Source organism: Homo sapiens, chromosome 11 (genome assembly GCF_000001405.40).
Source record: "Homo sapiens chromosome 11, GRCh38.p14 Primary Assembly".
Lineage (NCBI taxonomy): Eukaryota > Metazoa > Chordata > Mammalia > Primates > Hominidae > Homo > Homo sapiens.
In genome coordinates, this window is record NC_000011.10 from 31686573 (window position 1) to 31707758 (window position 21186).

At 35.4% G+C, this 21186-nt stretch overlaps 1 protein-coding gene and 1 long non-coding RNA gene across 4 annotated transcripts in view, besides 1 other annotated feature; one reads left to right on the forward strand and one right to left on the reverse strand.

The window, feature by feature from the left end:
- Nucleotides 1-21186, forward strand: part of ELP4 (elongator acetyltransferase complex subunit 4) — a 280558-nt gene that overhangs the window by 176806 nt on the left and 82566 nt on the right. The gene's annotated exons all lie outside the window — the stretch shown is intronic.
- Nucleotides 2451-21186, reverse strand: part of ELP4-AS1 (ELP4 antisense RNA 1) — a 78869-nt gene continuing 60133 nt past the window's right edge. Inside the window, exon 3 of the long non-coding RNA NR_199065.1 lies at nt 2451-2868. This is a non-coding gene — a long non-coding RNA (ELP4 antisense RNA 1). The remainder of the gene's footprint in view (nt 2869-21186) is intronic.
- Nucleotides 10663-10752: an enhancer, noted in NCBI's record as "active region_4558". NCBI's record gives its function as "activates an Ori minimal core promoter by ATAC-STARR-seq in GM12878 lymphoblastoid cells {active_cell/tissue: GM12878}" and the evidence as "EXISTENCE:reporter gene assay evidence [ECO:0000049][PMID:35858748]".

Genomic DNA, 21186 nt, shown 5'->3' on the forward strand with positions numbered 1-21186 from the left:
ATTTGTGTTTTAGAAGTATCACTCTGGGCCTGGTGCAGTGGCTCACAAGTATAATCCTAGCACTTGGGGAGGCCATGGCAGGCGGATTACTTGAGCCCAGTTCAAGACCAGCCTGGGCAACATGGTGAAGCCCCATCTCTACACAAAATTAGCCAGGCATGGTGGCGACACTTGTGGTCCCAGCTACTTGGGAGGCTGAGGTGGGAGGATCAATTGAGCTGGGGAGGTGGAGGTTGCAGTGAGCCGAGATCATGCCAGTGCACTCCTGCCTGGGCAACAGAGTGAGACCCTGCTTCAAAAAAAAAAAAATCACTCTGGCAGGAGTATGAAAAGAGATTGGAGTGGGGGTGGGGTGGGGTGACAAGACTAGAGGCCAAGAGTTGAGTTAGGAAACTGTTGCAGAGGCCAGGTGATCATCATCATCACCATCACCATCATCATAATGATTAGACATGAGATAAAATCAACTGAACTTAGTCATTTAGTAAGAGAAAAGGAGGAGTCTAAACTTGCTCCCAAATATCTGATTTGGGTGACTAGATGAGGTTGGTGTCTTTCATTAAAATAGGGACCATAGGAAAAGATGCAGTTTGGGACATGTAGAATAGGACATATAGGTGGATATAGCCTTTGAACATTTGGATGTGTGAATTTGTTCTAAGGAGATACATGATCCAGAGATGTATATTTGGGAATCATTGTTATATAGCTGGTAGTTGAAGACATTAGAACATGTAAGATCAGAAAACATGTTTAGATTCAGAAGAGAAGAAGGCAGAAGAATCATGTGGAGTGGTCTCATGGAAATTAAGGGAAGAGAGAATTTTGAAGGAATAATGAACAATGCCAAATGCATTGAGCAATAAATAGAAACAACAGTTGACTCATAGATAGAGAAGTCTATTGTATTTGGCAATATGAGGCTCATAGGTGACCATTGACCAAGAAGTTTCAGGGGCATAGGGCTCAAAACCTTAATTACATGTAGTTGGTTAAAGATCTAATGGCTTTTGCAATTTCTTTGAAAGTAGAAAAAGTGAATGGGAGGTAAGGAAATAGAGACAGCAAGTATCGACTCTCTGTTCCAGATTCTTGAGAATGAAAGAAAGGAGAAGGAAAGAATAATAGAGGTGGGTGCAGAATAGATAATTTTTCAATTATTTTGCTTTTTCCACTTGTACCTTGATTAAAATGTTGCTTTTGATTGCATTTTCATGAGTTAATATTAAACTTTGTATTTTTCTATAATTAATCATTCTATAATACTTTAGTTAATGGCATAAGTTTAAAAGAATCAGGGTTACCCCCAAACCAAATTAAGTATAAATACTAAATTGTGTGATTTCCATGAATGCACAGGATTAAAAAATATTTATGACAGAAATATGTAAAATCACGATTGAATAAAAGGAAGACGTTGACAGCGTGTTGGATAAATGTGAGATATCTTAACAAATGATTTTTAAATGAGGCCATCTGTTAAAGCTTCCTGATGCTCTGAGTCTGGAGCAAGAGGTTATTTATGTTTTCACGCAAATCAGGCTTTAACCAAAATACTTTGGAAAAAACAGATGCCTTATAGAAATTCATTATTCCTAAAATAATTACAACCTTCTAAATGTTAACATCCCTTTCTACAAAGAATGGTGTTATGCTAATGCTGTTTATATATATGAATGTGAAATTATTGTATCATTTACTGTAATGCAAGGGAATGGTTTCTCCTTATCCCCACCTCCATCCTCACCCCTGGGAGATACATGCCTGCTTACCAGGACCAATTTTCTACTTATTTAGCTAAAAATAATTGACCTTTGAAAGTCATAACCCAAGTAATTGAATTTGAACTAAAATCTAAAGATAAACCTAATCTTTCAGGCATTCTTTCCTCCCACTCTTTTGATCTTTTTGACCCCCACTAAGTCTTACCAGGTATATTGGAGTAGAGGAAATTTCATACTAGAATACAGTACTGTGTCATGTTTCATTAATGTCAAAGATTTCATGTAGTAAATAGAACAAGAAGGTACCACTTTGTATAATATTCAAAATCTATACAGCACATTGCTAAGCAGAGTATACACTCAAGAAATGTAGAATTGGTAATATTATACTAGAAAATGAACTTCCAGTATTGCTATTATTTTACTAATATGCATAGTCACTGACCTGTGAAGAGTGAACAGTATGTAGAAGTGCCTTTGAGATAGGAAATTGTGAGAGTCCCTAACTTTTACATACATATTAGATTAATTTGAGCCTACATAAAAAGAAAACAAATTTGTGAGGATTTGAGGGGGGAAAATCAGGGGACTTCCTGTTTGCAGCTCTTATCATTGGGAGAACAGTAAATTAGATCTAGACTAATATATTTGGTTTCTCTAATTTATGGCAATTTGTTAACTTTGTCATTGAGTGGAATGCTGAACAAAATTTCTATGGCACATAAGCACCTTGCACAGGGTTCGCTTTAATTCTTTGAGAAGCTTTCAGGCATAGACTATTTAGTATACTGATTAAAGTATGATTAATTATTAATTAGTATCTTGTCCTGTGAGAATGCCTTTAGCTTCAATAGGTTCATCTTTACTTGAAAATAATGGAAAGCTGGGTGCAGTGGCTCTCGCCTACTGAGTGGTGAGAGGATCACTTGAGGCCAGGAGTGGAAGACCAACCTAGGCAACATAGCAAGACCTCGACTCTACAAAAATTTTTTTTAATTAGCCAGGTATGGTGGTGCACGCCTGTAGTCCCATCTACTCAGAAGGCTGCGGTGGAAGGATCACTTGAGCGCAGGAGTTCAGGGGTCAGCAGTGAGGTTCAGTTGTGTCACTGCACTTCATCCTGGGCCACAAAATGAGAACCTGTCTTTAAAAAAAAAAAAAAAAAGAAAGAAAGAAAGAAGAATGAAAAAAATGGCTTACACACTGGGCAGATGTAGTGCATTTCTCCTTCCCAATTGCTGTCTGGGTTGATGCATTTGTCTGAATGGAGGGTGGAAGAAAGACTGAGAATTACATTATGTGAAAGCACCTGCCCAACTCCTTGCTTATGATAGGAAGTCTGTGGCCACTGACTTCCCATCTTATGTTCTATGTACTGTATGAAGTAGTATGGTATAGTGATTTAGAATGAGGCTCTGTAGTTCAACAGCCTGAATTTGAAACTTGACTCTACCACTTATTGGATGTGTGAGCTCAGCAAATAATGTCTTTCTGCTTCAGTTTTCTCACCTATTAAATAGAGATAATTAGCATCTTTCTCATAGGGTTGTGGTTGTGGTGGTGGTGGTGGTGGTTTTTCACTCAGGCAAAGAAGCATTGCTCTGCTAATGGAAACCTGGAGAAGTGCTTGTTAGCAAACAATACTCTGTTCTCCACCTCCTCCATATACCAGGGAAATGTTGGTGGTCTGTGAAATGGAACCAAAATTAATGTTCCTCTCATGAAGGAAGGAAAAGGAAATAACATGTGTTTCGTATGCATTATCTCACTTAATCCTTAGATTAATTCCTTCAGAATAAATATTATTAGTTGATTTTTTCATGTGAAAGACCTGAGGCTCAAGAGAGTGCTTATGCAAGATCAAATGTCTGCTGAATAGCAAAGCCAAGATTCAGTCAGAGGAATAGCTGACTCAAAAGCCCATCTGTTTCCACCTCATTCTACTAGCTAAATTGCCAACATTTGGGGCATAGCTGCTTTCCTCCTTTTCTAGATGTGGCAAATTAAAAGAAACCTGTGCCACAATCCAGTCCATCTGCCCTCACTTTCCTTCAAGTGAGAGGGAGCACGCACAGTGCAATCTCAAATAAGGTTTGGTCACTGACCAAATACCCCTTCTTTTTCCTAAAAAAAAATATATATATTTTATATCTGCAATATTGTGATGGATTATTTCTACTAAAATGTGAGTTTCTTCTATAGCTTTGTGGAAAAGTAAAATTAGAACTTCATACACAAGACACAGTTATCCCAATTTAACCTTTATCCTCTTACACTGAATTAGTTTACAAAGTCTGAGTTGATAAAAAAGCATAATTCCGTTAGCTTCCTACCTTCATTTTATTTTGATCTTTCTTATTTATTTAAAGAAAATGTTGGCCCTGAAAATCTTGCCTCTGGCCAAAAACAATAAAATTCTTATCTGGTAGTAACTAGTCATTACTAGTAATAGTTAAGGTTTCCTGTACTGAGTACTTAGTTTCATGTGGGTTTTTTTTCCTTTTTTTTTTTTTTTTTTTGCCGCAGAAAGCAAAGGCAAATCATGTCTTTTCTTATTCAAGGCCTTTTAAAGGTACTTTTTTTGCTCTTTGCACTACTTCTTAATTTTCAGTCAGTTTAGAAACAATTTTATACTTCCCCAAATTTCCTACATTAAGACTTCAAAAGCCTTAACATTAAAGAATAGCTGCTTTTGGCATTTAATATAGCTCAGAGCAAGGCAAGTTAGTACAGATAATTTAAATGATACCCAGTCACAGGTACCTTCACTTTCATTGGTTGCTTTTTCAGAATACCTATTTTGTTATGTACCTTATGAATTTAAACATGACTAAAGATGAATTTCTTAATGTGTACATTATGTTTTCTGAGCCTGGAAATTAAGGGGAAAAATGATGAAGGCATGTTACACAAGTACTTAATTTTTTTTTAAATCTCGGATAGTACTATGGTAATTAATGCTTATTTTATGCAAACTAGACTATATCTGTTAACGGACACATTACTGTCAAGAAAATATTACTTGTCTTAATTATCAGTAATGAAGCAGGGATAAGCTGCTCACTTAGATATAATATATCTAATGACCTTTTCAGTTAGAGGTTGTGATGAAAGGTATCAGTTTCACAAATTATGCTTCATTCAGCTTCTGGCCTTTGTGTAGATTAATGTTTTGTGGATGAGTTTTAAAGTCAGGCATAAATTGTGTTTGGTGTTTAAAATTGATTTAGTGTCTTGCTTTTAGTACATCATTTTCTCATTTATAAAGCCTCAGTTTTATCTTCAAGCTTAAAAAAATAATCCATGGTAAATTTAGAATTGCCTTACTGGCAGTGGTTTTTTTAACCTTACCAAATAGAATGGTACATATGTTTACACTTGTTTAACTAAAGGACATAGTTTATGACTGAAGTTTCTTTCTGATTTCTGAATTTAAAACAATAAGCACAATGTTTACAATAACAATTTTTGAACTAGGAATGTAAATATTTATCATACCACTTTTCCTAATTAGATATCCCCAGATGACACAAAGCTGGTTATTCATCCTGAGATGACACATAGCTGGTTATTGTGATAGAAGTTATGATATCTCTTAACATTAACTTCTTAGTGAGTAATAAACATGATATTGAAACATCATTAAAGAACTCATAGATTTGGCCTCATTCAAACCAATAGGAGAATTGCCCCCATGTTTTAAGCAACTAAGGATTTAAGCATTTTGTCTATGCAACATAACAGTGAGATGAAAAGTGGTTTTCAAATTTTTAAGCTGTGAAACTCTGAGAAACTTCTTACTCAGAAGTCCAATAAAGAAATCTAACAATACTGGAGCTGCTCTGGTTGAATTGGAAAATTTCTAAACTAACTTGAAGGAATCCAGGGCTGTCAAGTAGCAGTGTTTTGATACTATGATCCTGATAGTTATATTATTAATGTAGCCCAAATATTAGAGTTGGGGAGGAAAGTACAGACCATGGTTTTCAGACCTTCGTCTTAATGGGTAGGAAATTGAAAGATACAATATAACTAGCCTAAGTTAATATGGTCAGTAAGTGCTATGATCTAGAATCTAAAAAACATTAAGTACTTCTAGTGATAGAATGTTTTCCCTACTCACTGTTGCCCTACTACTATAAATAATGAATTTTGAAAACTATTTAAAGAACAGTTTCTGAATTGACCTAATCTTTGTGTAGAAAAGTACGCCATCAATTTTTCATTTGCAAGGGCACAGTAAAGTCCTAGCTACCCCAGCACATTGACTCTACTTCTTGCTCCATTGCTCATTTTGGAAGAGTACACAGTGACAGCTCCCAGTTCTGTACCTTGGCTTTGCAGAAAAGCAGGAGATCAGCAAAACAGGAGTTTTCCTGTGCTCTACTTAATTCCAATTCCTCGAAGGCTCATTCACACATGATGTTGCCTCTGATTGGAGCAACAGCCCCAATGTAACACCCTCTCCACCTCCTACCACTGTGGTCTCAGCCAGGCTAACTTCTGCATATCCTTCAGGCTGCAGTTTAAATATCACTGTCTCCCTCAGGGCTTCTATGATCCACACCAAGTCTAGATTGAATACCTCCGTTTATGCTCTGGTAGCATCCTGTATTTTCTCTATCATAGCAGTAACCACACTAGATTGCAATTACTTTTATCATCCCCTACTTAAATACTCAATTCCGTAAATAGAGACCACAAGTGTCTTGTTTATCGCTGATTCTTCCAAGCCTAGCAGAGTTTCTGACACATGGCTCGTGCCCCATGTTTATTAGGGAAGGAAGCAAGGGACGTAGACTCTCCACTGCCCACCCAAAGGAGTAACGTGCTGAATGGAAATAATCTTAAACTCGTTTTTTTATTATTATTATTATTATACTTTAAGTTCTAGGGTACATGTGCATAACATGCAGGTTTGTTACATAGGTATACATGTGCCATGTTGGTGTGCTGTACCCATTAACTCGTCATTTACATTAGGTATATCTCCTAATGCTAACCCTCCCCCCTTCCCCCAACCCCATGACAGCCCTGGGTGTGTAATATTCCCCTTCCTGTGTCTAAGTGTTCTCATCGTTCAATTCCCACCTATGAGTAAGAATATGCAGTGTTTGGTTTTTTGTCCTTGCAATAGCTTGCTGAGAATGATGGTTTCCAGCTTCATCCATGTCCCTACAAAGGACATGAACTCATCCTTTTTTATGGCTGCATAGTATTCCATTGTGTATATGTGCCATATTTTCTTAATCCAGTGTCTATCATTGATGGACATTTGGGTTGGTTCCAAGTCTTTCCTATTGTGAATAGTGGTGCAGTAAACATACGTGTGCATGTGTCTTTATAGCAGCATGATTTGTAATCCTTCGAGTATATACCCAGTAATGGGATGGCTGGGTCAAATAGTATTTCTAGTTCTAGATCCTTGAGGAGTTGCCACACTGTCTTCCACAATGGTTGAACTAGTTTACAGTCCCACCAACAGTGTAAAAGTGTTCCTATTTCTCCACATCTTCTCCAGCAACTGTTGTTTCCTGACTTTTTAATGATCGCCACTCTAACTGGTATGAGATGGTATCTCATTGTGGTTTTGATTTGCATTTCTTTGATGGTCAGTGATGATGAGCATTTTCTCATGTGTCTTTTGGCTGCATAAGTGTCTTCTTTTGAGAAGTGTCTGTTCAGATCCTTCGCCCACTTTTTGATGGGGTTGTTTGTTTTTTTCTTATAAATTTGTTTGAGTTCTTTGTAGATTCTGGATACTAGCCCTTTGTCAGATGAGTAGATTGCAAAAATTTTCTCCCATTCTGTAGGTTGCCTGTTCACTCTGATGGTAGTTTCTTTTGCTGTGCAGAAGTTCTTTAGTTTAATTAGATCCCATTTGTCAATTTTGGCTTTTGTTGCCATTGCTTTTGGTGTTTTAGACATGAAGTCCTTGCCCATGCCTATGTCCTGAATGGTATTGCCTAGGTTTTCTTCTAGGGTTTTTATGGTTTTAGGTCTAACATGTAAGTCTTTAATCCAGCTTGAATTAATTTTTGTATAAGGTGTAAGGAAGGGGTCCAGTTTCAGCTTTCTACATATGGCTAGCCAGTTTTCCTAGCACCATTTATTGAATAGGGAATCCTTTCCCCATTTCTTGTTTTTGTCAGATTTGTCAAAGATCAGATAGTTGTTGATGTGTGGTATTATTTCTGAGGGCTCTGTTCTGTTCCATTGGTCTATATCTCTGTTTTGGTACCAGTACCATGCTGTTTTGGTTACTGTAGCCTTGTAGCATAGTTTGAAGTCAGGCTGCGATATGCCTCTGGCTTTGTTCTTTTGGCTTAGGATTGTCTTGGCAATGCGGGCTCTTTTTTGGTTCCATATGAACTTTAAAGTAGTTTTTCTAATTCTGTGAAGAAAGTCATTGGTAGCTTAATGGGGATGGCATTGACTATAAATTATTTTGGGCAGTACGGCCATTTTCACGATATTGATTCTTCCTATCCATGAGCATGGAATATTCTTCCATTTGTTTTTATCCTTTTTTATTTCATTGAGCAGTGGTTTGTAGTTCTCCTTGAAGAGGTCCTTGACATCCCTTGTAAGTTGGATTCCTAGGTATTTTATTCTCTTTGAAGCAGTTGTGAATGGGAGTTCACTCATGATTTGGCTCTCTGTCTGTTATTGGTGTATAAGAATGCTTGTGATTTTTGCACATTGATTTTGTATCCTGAGACTTTGCTGAACTTGCTTATCAGCTTAAGGAGATTTTGGGCCAAGACAATGGGGTTTTCTAGATATACAATCATGTCATCTGCAAACAGGGACAATTGGACTTCCTCTCTTCCTGATTGAATACCCTTTATTTCTTTCTCCTGCCTGATTGTCATGGCCAGAACTTCCAACACTATGTTGAATAGGAGTGGTGAGAGAGGGCATCCCTGTCTTGTGCCAGTTTTCAAAGTGAATGCTTCCAGTTTTTGCCCATTCAGTATGTTATTGGCTGTGGGTTTGTCATAACTAGCTCTTATTATTTTGAGATATGTCCCATCAATACCTAATTTATCAAAGAGTTTTTAGCATGAACGGCTGCTGAATTTTTTCGGAGGCCTTTTCTGCATCTATTGAGATAATTATGTGGTTTTTGTCTTTGGTTCTGTTTATACGATGGATTACATTTATTGATTCGCGTATGTTGAACCACCCTTGCATCCTAGGGATGAAGACAACTTGATCGTGGTGTATAAGCTTTTTGATGTGCTGCTGGATTTGGTTTGCCAGCATTTTATTGAGGATTTCTGCATAGATGTTCATCAGGGATATTGGTCTAAAATTATCTTTTTTTGTTGTTGTTGTTGTGTCTCTGCCAGGCTTTGGTATCAGGATGATGCTGGCCTCATAAAATGAGTTAGGGAGAATTTCCTCTTTTTCTATTGATTGGAATAGTTTCAGAAGGAATGGTACCAGCTCCTCCTTGTACCTCTGGTAGAATTCGGCTGTGAATCCATCTGATCCTGAGCTTTTTTTGGTTGGTAAGCTATTGATTATTGCCTCAATTTCAGAGCCTGTTATTTGTCTATTCAGGGATTCAACTTCTTCTTGGTTTAGTCTTGAGAGGGTGTATGTGTTGAGGAATTTATCCATTTCTTCTAGATTTTCTAGTTTATTTGTGTAGAGGTGTTTATAGTATTCTCTGATGGTAGTTTGTATTTCTGTGGCATTCGTGGTGATATCCCCTTTATCATTTTTTATTGCATCTATTTGATTCTTCTCTCTTTTCTTCTTTATTAGGCTTGCTAGTGGTCTATTAAATTTGTTGATCTTTTCAAAAAACCAGCTCCTGGATTCATTGATTTTTCGAAGGGTTTTTTGTGTCTCTATCTCCTTCTGTTCTGCTCTTATCTTAGTTATTTCTTGCCTTCTGCTAGCTTTTGAATGTGTTTGCTCTTGCTTCTCTAGTTCTTTTAATTGTGATGTTAGGGTGTCAATTTTAGATTTTTCCTGCTTTCTCTTGTGGGCATTTAGTGCTATAAATTGCCCTCTACACACTGCTTTAAATGTGTCCCAGAGATTCTGGTATGTTATGTCTTTGTTCTCATTGGTTTCGAAGAACATCTTTATTTCTGCCTTCATTTTGTTATATACCCAGTAGTCATTCAGGAGCAGGTTGTTCAGTTTCCATGTAGTTGAGTGATTTTGAGAGAGTTTCTTAATCCTGAGTTCTAGTTTGATTGCACTGTGGTCTGAGAGACAGTTTGTTATAATTTCTGTTCTTTTACATTTGCTGAGGAGTGCTTTACTTCCAACTATGTGGTCAATTTTGGAATAAGTGTGATGTGGTGCTGAGAAGAATCTGCCCTACAAGAGCTTCTGAAGGAAGCACTAAACATGAAAGGAACAACCGGTACCAGCCACTGCAAAAACATGCCAAATTGTAAAGACCATCCATGCTAGGAGGAAACTGCATCAACTAATGAGCAAAATAGTCAGCTAACATCATAATGACAGGATCAAATTCACACCTAACAATATTAACCTTAAATGTAAATAGGCTAAATACTCCAATTAAAAGACTCAGACTGGCAAATTGGATAAAGAGTCAAGACCCATCAGTGTGCCATATTCAGGAGACTCATCTCACGTGCAGAGACACACATAGGCTCAAAATAAAGGGATGGAGGAAGATCTACCAAGCAAATGGAAAACAAAAAAAGGCAGGGGTTGCAATCCTACTCTCTGATAAAACAGACTTTAAACCAACAAAAATCAAAAGAGACAAAGAAGGCCATTACATAATGGTAAAGGGATCAATTCAACAAGAAGAGCTAACTATCCTAAATATATATGCACCCAATACAGGAGCACCCAGATTCATAAAGCAAGTCCTTAGAGACCTACAAAGAGACTTAGACTCCCACACAATAAACTGGTTTCTTATTGAGCAGCTGCTGACTTCCTGTGTGACTTTAGAAGAGTTATCTCTAAGTCTTCGTTTCCATTTCCAGTAGGATAATAATAGCTCTAGTACCTAGCTTTTACATTTCTTGTATTATAATTGGGTTTTCTCTACATCAGGGCTTTCATTTCAGTTTCTGTATTATAATGGAAGAGGAAAGCCTCTTTTTTGTTTCTTGGGTTTTTTTTGATACCAGATTAAGCAGGCTTCTCTCAAAAGCAATTTGTTTAAAATCATCTTACTAAAATTCTAGGTCCCAAGAAATTGAAAAACGGGCCACCTCCTTCATTTACAAATAATCTTACAGACTTTTAATGATGATGACATTCTGTAAATAAAGTATTTGTAGTCATTCTTGGAAACTTCAGGACTTTATTTCTTGATTTTATCCTTGAGAGTGGTACTTACACAACTCATAATTTAACATGTATACCACGTAGTCAGGGTGGAATTATTGTCCACTATTAAAAATGTCTAAACTTGTTTCTGTCTAAAATGAGGACTTGAAATGCAATCAGGGTCTCATCAAAAGAAATACCACTCTTCCAATGATTATTTATAATATTTTTATATTAACAAAAGCAGCTGATGAGATGAATAGGATGTAAGAGATGAAGAAGAGAATTGTCTCATTCATTTTTTCAGAAAGTTGAGAAAGAAAAAGTTAAAAAAAAACCCATTGAACTTTAGTAGTGCTTCTACTACATATCAGAAAATGCTTTTTTTTTAAAAGGATTTTTTAAGGAAAATAATACACATAGCTAGAACAGCAGTTTATATTTAACAGAACTAAATGGTCACATTTTTAAGTAAAGTACGCCCTGGCATTTGAACAGCTGTTATATCCAATTCAGATTTGCATACTGTTGTTTAACCTTCCCAGCTGTAGCGGGGGTGGCGTGTTAGTCTAATCTGGTATAAAATATGCATAGTATACTCAAAGTTGAAACTTTAAACACATATTTGTATTAAACTGATAAATTTTAGTCATATAAGCCTGTTTTAAATAAACACCTTATCTTTCTGTAAGTTATTTATTGAGCAGATTTTAATTAATTAAAACCTCTTTCAAACCTTTTATGTTTTATTTATATCTTTTTGTACTTTAATATTACTAATGAACACAAAGTATATACATTTCCTATGTATATGCTTACAATTACATTGCGACAGCCATAGAAAAATTTTTTTTTGAGACAGGGTTTCACTTTGTCACCTAGGCTGGAGTGCAGTGGTGAGATCTCTACTCACTGCAACCTACATCTCCTGGGTTCAAGCGATTCTCCCTCCTTAGCCTCCCGAGTAGCTGGGATCACAGGCGTGGGCCACCACTCCTGGCTAATTTTTGTCTTTTTAGTAGCGACAGGGTTTCAACATATTGGCCAGGCTGGTCTTGAACTCCTGGCCTCAAGTGATCCACCCCTCTCAGCCTCCCAGAGTGCTGGGATTACAGGCATGAGCACCATGCCTGACCTGGAAATTTTAAATTATATTTTTCCTATATTTCTACCTGATTCTCTGACCTCAGCAGAATCTTCTTTATTAATACAGTTATGGAAATGGAATGAGGAGGAGGTGATTGCTGTATGAAGATCTTACAAGACTAAGGCTAAAAGAGATTAACATCAAAATACATATTACCATGGAGCACATGAATATAGTGAATAAAAATTTGTTCATCAAAGCCTGCTACAGTATAAAACATTGCTTGAAATTTGAAAGAAATGATTTTAGAACAAATAAATGGTCATGATTATACACCATGCACACTCAAGCACACACAACAATATACATGTAGAAATAGATGTATCTGTATGTGAGTTTATGTACTATATATGTGTGTATTTCTTAACCTTCTCTTCTGAAGAGCCTAGAAGCAATGACAACCCTAGGGAATACTCCAAGTACCCAAATATTGGTTTCTGAGTCTCTTCCTCCACAAAAAATAAAAAAGAAGTGAAGAGGAGGGAAGCCTCTTGGCAAGATAGCTAATTCTAGGATTGAGGCACAGAAGGTATAAAATGAGACTAAAATTTGTGCCAGAAAGTAAGGAGATACTCAAAGAACAGTAGGAGCATGAAAAAACATGGCCCAGGATTTAATTCAAAGAGGTTCCTACTAGCCAGTCTGGGAAATTTGAGCATCGAAATTAATAATGGAAAACATTAAATAAAATGGAAATTCATGAGCCCATACTGAGATAGATGGATGCATAGTTAGGTAGGAAAAGAAATCTCTTCCCTGCCATAGAATACCAACTATTAAACCTCGAAGGAATGATAAAAATAGAAAATCACCATTTGACAGTCATAGTTCATCACCCATAGTTCAATTCAGATGGAAGTTTTCAATGGAGACTGAGGCCTGGCTTGTGGGTTTGATGAGGTTTAATGAGGAAAACGATATTGACATAATCTCAGAATATCTCCCTTATGCACTACTAGTTAGTTACTAAGGGATGACATGACAGTGGAGAAATTTTCTGAACAATATGACCAGATGATCAAGGTTGACATCACAAGTGGGTCAACTTCATGTATGGCACATCACCTTGATGTGTAGCCTTGAAAAGAGCAGAGTATCATGTTAGTGGTTTCCCTGCCCAAAAAGCATGATCATGAGGAAATAGTAGATAGATCTAAGTTTATGATTAGCCTACAGAATGAAGGTTCTGTATCTTTGGAAAAATGTCAAGAACATGAAAGACCTGGAGAGACTGAGAATATGGGAGGAGAATGAATGTCCTGACGATACTGGGGCAGTTGACAAAGTTTGAATGATGTCTGTAGATTGATAGTAGTGTTGTATAAATGTTGATTTTCTGACTCAAAGGCTTATATGGTGATTCTGTAGAAGAATGTCCTTGTCTTAAGAAGTACTGGAGTATTTAGGGTTGATAGGAATCATGTCTGCTGCTTGTTCTTGGATACTTCAGAAAAGACTAATTATGGGTATACGTATATGCTTAGGGGAGTGTATCTATTTTTTTAAAAAAAAAGAAAAATGGAGCAAATGAAAAATTAAAAATTGGGGAATCTGGGTGATAGGGATATGGGAATTCTTTGTTTTGTTCTGGCATACTTTTCTGTGTTTGAAAATACTTCAAAATGAGTTATTCTAAAATGATCACTGAAAAGGTAATAAATACATCATAAACATTAATATTTATGTAATAATAATATGAGTAGTCACAGTAAGTCAGGTTAATAAAAACTATAAATAGCTTTATGTCCATGTAGACAAACGAGTTAAGATTTTCAGAGATTTTTGGATTTTTGGAATTGAGAATAAAGGCTGTGGGTCTGTATAAGGTATCCTGGCCCAAATAAGTACGTTTTCCCAGTCTCACACAGGAAGTAACAGAACCAAGATCTCTTGATTCCCTCCCCAGTAGTCCTTGGAAGACAGCTGGAAAAGATTACTTACTCAAGATAGGGACATGTGTATTCAAATTCTGACTTTTGGGAGTTGATTCAGGAAAGTGTCAGATTTACAAAAATTTCCCTTAGAGCTGCATCATTAGATTCACCAAGAGGGCATGTTCTGTGTTGCAGTTTTCAAATGCAACCCAATGAGAATATAAGAATGTTCTCATTGGTATGCAATGAGAATGTAGAAAGAAATACTAGAAAACCTTTTTCTTTCTCCTTGCCTATGTCATATATAGTATAAATGTGAGAGTGAGTAGATTTCTTCCTCTCCTCCGTGGTTTTCATCCCATGCTAATTCTCTTATCCTGTAAGATTTCCTTCCTCTTTACAAGGTTAAAATACCCTTGGATTTCAAGCAGTACCTTTTTAAAATCTGATTTACCAATCACTTGATTAGCCATAGTGGCTAATGTGTTTTTAATGTTTCAAATAGCCAATGACTTGAACCTCTGTGTAGGAAAATAGCCTTCTCTGCATTCTGTATTTGCTCATACCATTTTGCATATATTTAAGGACTTCATGCTCAAGCAGTTTCTTTTCCTTTTTAAAATTTCCTTGTCTTACCAGGAAAATAAAACTTTTTGGATATTTTCTGTTATATAGCCAATATAAAGTCCATTTTGAGGACTTAATATTATAAAAACTAAGCTGTCACATTGCTTAAATGGGATTTTGATAAGCTCCTTGTATCTTGCTCTTATTCTTTAATTCCTTTTAAAAGATTTTCTGGAAGTACCCATGAAGTATTCTAATTTTACACCTACATATTTAAAATAAGATTTTTTATTAGTAGAATCATGCTATTGCCTTAATTAGCTTCTAATCTCACTCAATTTATCTTGGGGCACAGATATTGTATCCTATTTAAATTTATGTCAAAAGCTATTGCCTAAACATAATTTTATAATAGCTCTGTCTCCTGGGTTCTAAAACTGCTTTTTTCTGCTCCTATTGCCAAGCCAGTTATGTTTTTTCCTGTATTTTCAGTTAATTAACTTAAGCCCTATATATATTTCATGGTTTTATAGACTAATATATATATAATAAATATATATACACACATTATATATATTTTAATCTATTTTTCCAACTTGAGCCTTGGTAAATTTTATTTTACCTAATATAATAAGAGGTAGATTTTCAATACTGATCAGTAAAGACAACATTTTTTAAAATGGGTAAACAAAAACATTTTATATTATAAACACCTGATAGTATACCTTTATTTCTCAGCATACATAACTTTAGTGTTTATATATTATTCCCAAAAATTGAATATCAACTGTTAGCCACAGTACGAAGCGAATAATATATTGATGAATTATGTTTCTGACTGTCCTTTTAAATCTACTTAGTAAATAAAGTTATAGTTGCATTTCCAAATGTGAACTTTTTAGTCTCCTATAATTGTATATGTTTACACATGTTGAGATGGAAAGACTTTAAGCACTGAGATTTTGAGATGTTGATTAAACAAGTAATTAGACTTGAGCCAGGCATGGTGCCACACACCTGACCCAGCTACTCAGGAGACTGAGGCAGGAGGATCACTTGAACCCAGGAGTTCAAAGCTGCAGTAAACTGTAATTGGGCCACTGCACTCCAGTCTGGGCAACAGAGCGAGATCTTGTCTCTAAAAATAATAATAATAACAATAACAATAATAATAATAATAATAACAATAATAATTAGGCTTGAATTAAAACATGTCAGGGAGAGGAGAATGGAATTTATTGTTTAATGGATACAGAGTTTCAATTTGGGATGAAAAAGTTCTGGAAATGGATAATGGTAAAAGTTGCATAACAACATACAACTTTTAAATGTACAGTTCAGTACTTAATGCCACTGAACTGTACATTTAAGAATGGTTAAGAGATAAATTTTATGCTATGTATATTTTACCACTGTGTATATATTTAAAATCTGATTCGTAGTTTTTCATCTGTAGGTGTTTCTCCCTTATCATAGACATTAGTTAGCATTTAGTCTTTAACCTTAACATATACTATTATTCATTTAATATATGTTAGTTTTACTGTGTTAGGTGTACATTCTGGCTATAAAAAATCTCTGAAAGTTTTTTAATTGCCTTCAGGTATTTTTTAGCTATGTGACCTTGTATAAGATACTTAACTCCTCTAAACTTTCATTTTCTTATGTATAAAATGAGGATATCAATGCCTATATCAAAAGGTTGTTAGATGGACCAGTTAATGTAATAATATTTACTTCAAATTTTATTGGGAAAATAAATATTATGTAAAGCACTTAGAACAGTTAAATTCATTAAAATCACTCAGGAAATTATAGCTGCTAGCACTTTTTATTAGACATTGCAGATGAGTTAACACACCAAAGCTCCTTTTAATTTTTGGTTGTCCTTTGGGGGCTGCATGTGTGGGTTACATCTTATAGTCACTGCCTGCATTCTCTTTGTTTACTTTGTACTTGACTTGCTAAGCATGACACATGCAGAGGATCCAGTGACTACGTGTTTGGTCTCCTAGGACCTCTTCAGCCTCCTAGGCCTTGCACCAGTGGCATAGTCAGCAAGCTTGCTAAGCAAGGGGAACAGTGAAAAGAAGACAGGGGGTGCAGCATGCCAGTGTTTCTGTGGAACAACCTTTATTGCCCAGCTATCCCCAGATATTCTAAAACAGTTATGACACCTTTTCAGATTTAGATCACCTCTTTATTTATATATACTGTGACTCTGCTAGTTTTAAGCAATTATAATTGATCAAAAACATTAGCCAGTGTTTTTCAAAGTATGAGTAAAATATGAATATTTTTAACATAATCTATATACTTTGCTTCATTTATGAGAGAATTTGAAGCAGTTACCTAATTTGCTCTTATTGTCACCATTTTATTGAAATGGAAAGTAACTAGACAAAAAGAAACCTTAAAAGATTGTCGCCTAAATCTCTTCTCTTCAAGGTACAAGTTACCCTTAAACTCTTCTCTCCAGGTACCTTACACCTTAGTTGTGATTATCCAGCTGTCCTAGAGCAAGCCTGTGATTTCTCTATTGGTGATCTTGTGGCAGTATTTCACATTATTATATGTTTTTAAGGAAATCAAAGTGTTTCCTGATTGAAAAATAAGAATTAGTGCAATTGTTTTATCTTCTAGTTAATATGCCTTCTCCTAAAGTAATTCTCAAATTGTTTGAAACTGAAGGCCAAGAATATGGCAGAAAATAGAAATCATTTGAAACTGGTAAACATTTCAACTTGAATATATATGTCCAAAAAATTAAAATTCAAAAATGTTATATGCACTCACATATTCAGCACTCTAACTTAAGCTACAGCACACTTCTGAGATCTGATAGTAACAATATTGTAAAGCTTAATTATATTTTTATGGCCCATGCCATCTGGGCATTTGTTCTGCTTACAATAGTAATAGAATTTAAAAAAAAAAAATTTAGTTTGCAGTGCAATTGTCTTACCACAAATGCATCAAGGCAAATTATCTCTTATTATTTCAGATCCTGTTCTTGTAGTTTGGATTTGTATCTGTTTGAAAATAGAAAAACTTCTCAGCAACTAAAAAAAAAAAAATCTCACATGGTTAATTCAAACAGAAGACACAAAACTCCTATCTTTATTTCTTAAAACTATGCAGCCATAAAAAAGGATGAGTTCATGTCCTTTGTAGGGACATGGATGAAGCTGGAAACCATCATTCTCAGCAAACTATCGCAAGAACAAAAAACCATACACCGCATGTTCTCACTCGTAGGTGGGAATTGAACAATGAGAACACTTGGACACAGGAAGGGGAATATCACACACCAGGGCCTGTTGTGGGGTGGGAGGAGGGGGGAGGGAAAGCATTAGGAGATATACCCAATGTAAATGACGAGTTAATGGGTGCAGCACACCAACGTGGCACATGTATATATATGTAACAAACCTGCACGTTGTGCACATGTACCCTAGAACTTAAAGTATAATAAAAATAAAAAAATTAAAATTAAAAAATAAAAAATAAATTTTGATTTAGATCATAGAAAACACTACTCTTGTTTATGACTTAAAGATTATATAGATCAGGCTTGGTGGCTCATGCCTGTAATCCAGCATTTTGGGAGGCCGAGGTGGGTGGATCACCTGAGGTGAAGAATTCGAGACCAGCCTGGCCAACATGGTGGAACCCCGTCTCTACTAAAAATACAAAAGTTAGCCGGGCATGGTGGTGCGCGCCTATAGTCCCAGCTACTTGGGAGGCTGAAGCAGGAGAATCGCTTGAACCTGGGAGGCAGAGGTTGTGGTGAGCTGAGATCGCGCCACTGCACGCCAACCTGGGAACAGAGCGAGACTCCATCTCAAAAAAAAAAAAAAATTATATAGTATATGACTTAAGGATTATTTTCTGACTTCCTAAGTCAACATATGTCTTAGTCCATTTTTGGTTGCTATAATAGAATACCAGAAACTGGGTAATTTATAAAGAACAGAAGTTTATTTGGCTCATGGTTTTGGAGACTGGGAAGTCCAAGAGCATGGTGCCAACATCTGGCAGGGGTCTTCCTGCTGCATCATAATATGGCAGAGAACACCACATGGTGAGAGGGCAAGAGCATGTCAGCTCAGGTCTCTCTTCCTCCTCTTATAAAGCCACCAGTCCCATCATGGGGCCCCACCCTGATGACCTTATCTAATCCTAATTACCGCCCAAAAGCCCCACTGTCAAATACCATTAACATATGAATTTGGGGACTAAGTTTCCAACACATGAAATTTGAGGGACACATTCAAACCAGAATACCATATAAATGTACTTATGTTTAATTGCTTTGTTGCTAGGAACTTTGGATTGCGACAAACACAGATTTTAAAACTACTGCTTTATACACTTAAACATACAGGTTCAGAATCTTTTTATTTTGACATGTTAATTATTCAAAAAATATTGCAGATTAAAATTCCTCTGCAACTGTAGTTATTACCAATGTTAATAAATGATAATAATGGTTATGTCTTAGTTCTAACTTTCTCTTAAAGGAAAAAGTGGACCACCATTATCAATATGTCTATTAATTTCTCTAGAGACAAGAAATCTGCATTAACCTTTGTGATATTTAAACATCATAAATGTTTGACATTCTACATGGTAAATTTTCAGACTGATATATTTCTATACATACAATACATAATTTTTTTTAAATTTTGTTTGTTTATTTTTTTAGAGACAGGGTCTTGCTCTGTCACCCAGGCAAGAGTGCAGTGGCACAAGTATAGCTCACTGTAACCTCAAACTCCTAGGCTCAAGTGATCCTCCTGCCTCAGCCTCCTGAGTAACTAGGACTGCAGATGCACACCACCACTCCTGGCTGATTTTTTATTTTTTATAAATAAAGGATTTCCAAGGCTGGTCATGAATATAATATTTTTAATAAAAATACGTTGCATTTTTGTATGTTGTATTTTTTTACTTTTTAAATTGACATATAATAATTGTACATATTCATAGGGCACATAGTAATGTTTTGATGCATTTAATAAATACATAGGGATTAGCTCAGGATAATTAGCATGCCTATCATCTCAAACGTTTATTATTTCGTTGTGCTGGGAATGTTTAATATCTTCCTTCTACTATTAGAAATGATATATTATTTTCAACTCTAGTCATCCTACAGTGGTATAGAGTACTAGAACTTAAGGCCAGACATGGTGGCTCATGCCTATAATCCCAACACTTTTGAGAGGCCAAGGTGGGAAGATTGCTTGAAGCCAGCACTTCAAGACCAGCCTAGTCTATATAGTGAGACCCCATCTCTACCAAAAAAAAGTTTTAATTAAATGTTATATTTATTTTTATATATTTATATATGTAATTAATTTAATTTGTTTATATATTTAATTTAATATATTAAATTAATATAATTAATAATTAATGATATATTTAATTTAATTAATTTTATATATTTATATATTTAATTCATATATTTTAACTTTTATCTAATATTTTCAAAAAAAGAACACTATAACTTCTATCTAGCTATAAATGTACATCCTTTAACAAGTCTCTGCCTCGCCTTCCCTTCCACCTACCCATCCCAACATCTAGTACCTGTGTTCTACTTTTTATAATACTTCTATGACATGAACATTTTTAGCTCCCACATATGAGTGAGAACAGGTGGTGTTTAACTTTCTGTTCCTGGCTTATTTCACTTAATATAATGTCCTCCAGTTCCATCCACATTGCTGCAAATGTCAGGATTACATTCTTTTTTATTGCTAAATATTATTCCATTGTGTATGTATACACCACATTTTCTTTATTCATCTTTTTTTGGACACCTAGGTTGACTTCATATCTTAGCTATCGTGAATAGTGCTGCAGTAGACGTGGATGTCCGGATGTCTCTTTAATGTAATGATTTCCTTTCCTTTGGAGAAATTCCCAGTAGTGGGATTGCTGGATCATATGGTAGTTTCATTTGCAGTTTCTTGAGAACCCTTCATACTATTCTTCATAGTTGCTGCACGAGTTTATATTCCCACCAACAGTGTAATACGTAATATTTAATACCAGATATATATAATTTCATGTAAGTATATATATGAAATAAAACCTTACAGTTCATGTTACTAGCAATATCCTTGATGTTCAACTGAAAATATAAAGTAGTCAAAGACCTCATTTTACCACGTGTAATCTATTGACAATATACTTTTATAACGTATACAAAAAATACTGAATCATCTTGGTATGTTGTAAGTGTGGAAAATTTAATGATACTTATGTTTTATTATTTCCCTTTATTCTATAACAATGTATTATTTTATAATACCTTCTGTAATTTACTATGTTAATATAATTCCATGGCAAGAATTCATCAATTCTACTTGAATGGTTGGTATTTTCTTTTTTCTTTAAATTATACAAGTGATATGTGACTAATTTTATATTATTTTTCTGTTACTGCTATAAAAAATCACCACAAACTTAGTGGCTTAAAATAACATAAATTATTTCCCTATAATTCTAGAGGTCAGAGGTCCACAGTCAGGATCTCAAAGGATTAAGGTCAAGGTATCAGCAATACTGGTTCCTTCTGGAAGCT